Consider the following 5,970-nt stretch of genomic DNA (forward strand, 5'->3'; position numbering starts at 1 on the left):
ATCAGTAGAAGGTGAGATGTAGTATTAAATCTCTCTCTCTCTTTTTTTTGGGGGGGGGGGGGGTGGATGGAGTCTCTCTCTGTCACCCAGGCTGGAGTGCAGTGGCATGATCTCAGCTCTTTGCAACCTCCGCCCTCCAGGTTCAAGCGATTTTCCTGCCTCAGCCTCCCGAGTAGCTGGGATTATGGGTGCCCACCACCATGCCCGCCTAATTTTTGTATTTTTAGTAGAGATGGGGTTTCACCATGTTGGCCAGGTTAGTCTTGAACTCCTGACCTCAGGTGGCCTCAGACTCCCAAAGTGCTGGGATTACAGGCATGAGCCACCGCGCCCAGCTAAGCATCAAATCTTTAAAAAAAAAAAAAAAATCTGCTAAAAGACCACACATTATCACATCGCATGGGACTAGGTATAACACTGACTTCTTTCAACAGTATTGGGTAAATATTTGACCTCCAATGTCATTATGGTTAATGTATATTCTAGACCTCAGAGGACATTAGGACGGAAGACAACCTTTCTGACTGGCTCTCTAAAAGTCTTTGTTTGCTTGGGAACGACTGGTAATATACTCTATCCTTAACTTGGTGCAGTTCAACTCCTAGCTGTTCAATAGATAAAACAATAATGATCTCATCCTTTTTATCATGAAACTAAATGTGATTTGTAAATCAGTACATAATAATAATAATTTTGGGTTAATTATTAACTCTCAGAAAATATTCTCATTAATAGCTTCCAGGGCTAATATCATTCGTTTATTTAATTATGGAAAGATTGAGATATAGGTGCTGCACATCCTTGAATGTCTCATAAAATCAAAGTTGATTACAATGACACTAATATTTCCATAACTCATGTCTTTCTTGCAATTCCCTATAAGGATAAAACAAATTGCCCTATGTTAAATTACTCATTTTGATAACTATGTGAGAAGATGAGGCACAGATGGTATTTCTGAGAATGGCATCAAAGCATTTAAAATGCTGATTGGCAACATATCGCATATTTATATATGAGTGGAAAGTCATCTTTTGACTATATTAATGCTGCAAAAATAAACACACTTTGGTCTCTGATGCAGAGTTTTAAGTTCTCATGGCAATATCTGTTCACTTTGCTTACCAGGTACAATAGTAGAGTCGACATTTTTATCAGTCAGCTGCATTTATTCAACACCCACCGTGTGTTCAGCATCAGGTGCTTTGGAGCCTTGGCGAGAAAGACATTCAAGGACTTTATAGTTTAATGGGGGAGAAGGAAAAACACAAATGTGTACATGTAAACAAGCAGGGTTGGAGATGTCTAAACATACACACCATCCTGAGCATCTGTGCAAAGATACGGGTGGAAAAGACAAAGGGGGTGTGTGTAAAATGAGTGCAGCAGCTGAGGTGAGGTGAGTCTTGTTTTGTCTAGGCTGTGTTGGAGTGGCAACAGAATTTGTTTTCCATTTCTTAAAAAATTGAGGAATCATATACATTCACGAACAGAATTTTTCTTTTCCTTTTTTTTTTTTTTTTTTGAGACGAGTCTCGCTCTGTCGCCCAGGCTGGAGTGCAGTGGCGCGATCTCGGCTCACTGCAAGCTCCGCCTCCCGGGTTCTCGCCATTTTCCTGCTTCAGCCTCTCGAGTAGCTGGGACTACAGGCGCCCACCACCATGCCCGGCTAATTTTTTTTATAATTTTAGTAGAGACGGAGTTTCACTGTGTTAGCCAGGATGGTCTCGATCTCCTGACCTCGTGATCCGCCCGCCTGGGCCTCCCAAAGTTCTGGACTGCGCCCGGCCGCGAACAGAATTTTTCATTCCATTTTTGGTGCAGCTGGGGGAGCTCTATGGGATTTGAAGTGAGGGAAGTATATTTCTAGTGGAGAGAAGTGCCCATGCGGTGGTTCCCAAAATGTGGTCCAGACCAGTGGCATCAGCATCATCTGGGCGCTTGATGGAAATGCAGATCATCAGGCCCCATCTCAGATCTACTAAGTCTGAAACTCCGGGAGTGGGGCCTGGCGATCTGTGTTTTGGCAAGCCTGCCAGGGGATTCTGATGCTTAAGTGTGAGAAGCACTGCTCTATGAGATGGCTGTGAGTCTACAGCAGGGGCAGTGTTCCTTTGAAATGACAGGTCCAGAGGCCACCTGATACCCATAGGAGGCATTCTACAAGACAAAAGCAGTTGGTGAGGCGGGGGCAGTTGTGAAGACCTCAAAGCTCACCACCAGAAACTTCAAGAGGCTACACTGAGCCCTCTGAAATGTTTATGTTAGAACCACTATACTGACTTAACGTCTTCAGAGAATACTAACTTTCGCATTTCCTGACTTTTATGAGCATGTTGAGTGTTGTAATTCCACGAGGCCTTTAAATGTGATTTCCTTTGCTTTTAAGGAAAAGATGGGTTGGTGGGGAGGGGGTTTAGAGGGGTTGGGTAGCTAGTAGTGAGAGGGTAAAAATAGGAAAAAAGATTTTCAAGAAAAATTCTTTCAAGACATTGCTGCAAAGCCTATATGCCTGGACTGAAACACAATAGAATAATAATGGTAATACAAGCTAATATTTATATAGCTCTTATTATGTGCCAGGTATGTTCCAAAGTATTTAAGAACGTGGTCATTAGTGTTCTTGAAAGCCATCTGTGCATCATCTCCTCACATAGTTATCAAAATGAGTAATTTAACATAGGGGAATTTGTTTGATCTTTATAGGGAATTGCAAGAAAGACATGAGTTATAGAAACACTAATATTAATTCATTAATCCCCACAACCACTTCTGAGGTAGAACCTATTATTCTCATGTTAAAAAATAAGGAAACTGTAGCACAGAGAGGTTAAGAAACTTGCTCAAGGTCACACAGCTAGAGCTGGTACTAGAGCTCTGGCTTGCAGGCTGTGGTTTTTATTTTATTTTATTTTATTTTTTTTACCTGAGATGTAGTCTTGCTCTGTTGCCCAGAGTTGGAGTGAAATGGCATGATCTTGGCTCATAGCAACCTCTGCCTCCCGGGTTCAAGCAATTCTCCTGCCGCAGCCTCCCGAGTAGCTGACATTACAGGCGTGTGCCACCATGCCCGGCTAATTTTTGTATTTTTAGTAGAGATGGGGTTTCACCATGTTAGCCAGGCTGGTCTCGAACTCCTGACCTTGTGATACGCCCACCTTGGCCTCTCAAAGTGCTGGGATTACAGGCATGTGCCACCATGCCTGGCTAATTTTTGTATTTTTAGTAGTGGCGGGGTTTCACCATGTTGGCTAGGCTGCTCTCCAACTCCTGACCTCATGATCTGCCTGCCTCGGCCTCTCAAAGTGCTGGGATTACAGGCGTGAGCCACCGCGCCCAGTCACAGGTTGTGTTTTTAACCATGACGCTATGTTATTCTGCAAGAACTAAGACATTGGAAGACAACTATTTCTATTTTGAAAGAGTGACTCATTGTTCTAAATTGTTTGGCATTTGAGTATTAAGCTTCAGGGCCTGATGACTTTCTTATTTAATTTTCTGGTTGGCCAGCCGAGTATTTCCTGCGTCTACCCAGTTCTCACAGAAAGTAGCTGAGGCTGACTTCTGGGCAGGGTAAATCAGTTACAAAATAAAGGTTAGGCTGAGTGCCCATAGCAAAGCTAGAAAAGGCTCTGGAGTGATTTCCCCTCAACCCAGAGCAGTTTAGCTTGGACTCAGCAGCCTCTGCAGGATTTGGGGGCTCCTGCAAGACTTGAGTCCCCTTCAGAGTGCAAGGAGAGCAAGATTCACAGGGTGGAGGGAGTTAGGGGGGAGAAAAAAAGAAGACACAGTTTGTTGACACCATCTTGTCTTTTTTTTTTTTTTTTTTTTTTTTTTTGAGACGGAGTCTCGCTCTGTCGCCCAGGCTGGAGTGCAGTGGCGGGATCTCGGCTCACTGCAAGCTCCGCCTCCCGGGTTCACGCCATTCTCCTGCCTCAGCCTCCCAAGTAGCTGGGACTACAGGCGCCCGCCACTACGCCCGGCTAATTTTTTTGTATTTTTTAGTAGAGACGGGGTTTCACCGTTTTAGCCGGGATGGTCTCGATCTCTTGACCTCGTGATCCGCCCGCCTCGGCCTCCCAAAGTGCTGGGATTACAGGCGTGAGCCACCGCGCCCGGCCACCATCTTGTCTTCTATGAGTAATTCTCAGGACAAAGACTTGTCACCATTTACGGGTGAAGAGCATGGACTTTGGTGTCAGAAAAAAGCTTGAGTTTGAGTCCCAATTCTTTCACTTATTAGATGTGGGAACTTACTGCTTTTCCTCATTTTCCTCTCTTATAAAATGCAGATGACATTAGTACTTGCCTTGGTGGTACTGAGAGGATTAAATAAACAATACACTTAAAGTTCTTAAAGCAATATGTGGCACACAAAGCAAGCTCTAAATAAGTGTTAGTTCTTCTTGTATTGACCTCCTGCAGCACACGTGGCACCATTCTATAAGCTGTCAGAACACTAATGACCACCTACCACTATTTCTCACAACTCTTATGACTTAGGTATCTCCTGTTTTGCAGGTGAAGAAACTGAGCCTCAGAGGTGTTCACTGGCCCAAGGTGACTCGAGCAGAGAAGGGCTCAGCCAGGCTTTAGCAGAGGTGGGCCTGAGTCTGCGGCTCGGCAGCACTGCTGTCCCCTCTCCCGCAGGCAGACATGCACCCCCACTGGATTGAAATAATTGTCTACGGGGTCCTGGGGAAACCGCTACTGAGTTCGTGTTTTGTTCACCAGTTTTAAAGCTGGATCTGAAGCAGCTTTTAATCACTTCGCTCATAAACATTCACTGCTCTGTGGGAGTCCTCCCCATAGGTTGTCTTACGGATGCATCAGCATAAGAAATGTTTGATGGGGCCTGCAATTTGCTTGTCATTTTCTGCCCACATGAGTGATTGATAAGTGCTTTGAGTCATATCTGAGACTTCCTTTTAGGGAATGCATGTAGATCAGCAGTCACATTCCCTGACACCTCTCACACCTTCAGCTGCACTGTCACCAACACACTGACATCAGAAGCTGGGGCCTCTGCTCATTGTGTACATAGGAAGGGACAGCTGGTCCAGGTCAGCAGAGAGGGAACATATGTCAGGGTCCACTATGAACTCTGACCTCTCTGCCCTCTGGCCCAGAGGACAGTCTCATGGCTAGGTTGCTGTCATTGTCATTCCCAGGTACACCATTCAACCTCATGTGGCTGCTAATTTAATTTACTGTTTTCTGTTTAGTCACACAACAGGTTTGAACTTCTTTAGCAAATTGATTTCCCTACCTGGTGTCTTATAGTAGACATTCCAGATGAGACAGGGCCCCAAAATAGTTGCCCTCGATGTGTTGTGAGAGACTGAAAGCCAAAGGGCATATTAATGGGTCATTAGTTCATATCTGTGCATGTTTATTTGCACCGCAAATTTTTTTTTGAGACAGAGTTTCACTCTCTCGCCCAGGCTGGAGTGCAGTGGCACCATCTTGGCTCACTGCAGTCTCTGCCTCCTGGGTTCAAGTGTTTCTCTTGCTTCAGCCTCCCGAGTAGCTGGGACTACAGGTGCCTGCTACCATGCTTGGCTACCTTTTTTTTTTGTTATTATTAGTATAGATGGGGTTTTGCCTTGTTGGCCAGGCTGGTCTCAAACTCCTGACCTCAGGTGATCCACCCACCTCAGCCTCCCAAAGTGCTGGGATTGCAGGTGTAAGCCACCGTGCCCAGCCTACAGTAGATCTTTTGACTTTGTAATATTTACTTTAAAGTACACTGTAGGCCGGGCACGGTGGTTTACACCTGTAATCCCAGCACTTTGGGAGGCCGAGGAGGGTAGATCACGAGGTCAGGAGTTAAAGACCAGCCTGGCCAATATGGTGAAACCCCGTCTCTACTAAAAAATAAAAAAGCACACTGTATACCAAAAAACAAAGAAGCAACAAGCAAAATTCACAGTATCAATGACTACATAAACCTAGAAACAGAGACTGTAA

At 44.8% G+C, this 5,970-nt stretch overlaps 1 annotated feature.

Annotated features, from left to right (window-relative positions):
• Positions 4,338-5,118: an enhancer, noted in NCBI's record as "OCT4-NANOG-H3K4me1 hESC enhancer chr9:84458661-84459441 (GRCh37/hg19 assembly coordinates)". NCBI's record gives its function as "activates a minimal SCP1, AML or CMV promoter by ChIP-STARR-seq in naive H9 embryonic stem cells {active_cell/tissue: H9 hESC(naive)}" and the evidence as "EXISTENCE:reporter gene assay evidence [ECO:0000049][PMID:30033119]".

This window comes from Homo sapiens, chromosome 9 (assembly GCF_000001405.40).
Source record: "Homo sapiens chromosome 9, GRCh38.p14 Primary Assembly".
Classification (NCBI taxonomy): domain Eukaryota; kingdom Metazoa; phylum Chordata; class Mammalia; order Primates; family Hominidae; genus Homo; species Homo sapiens.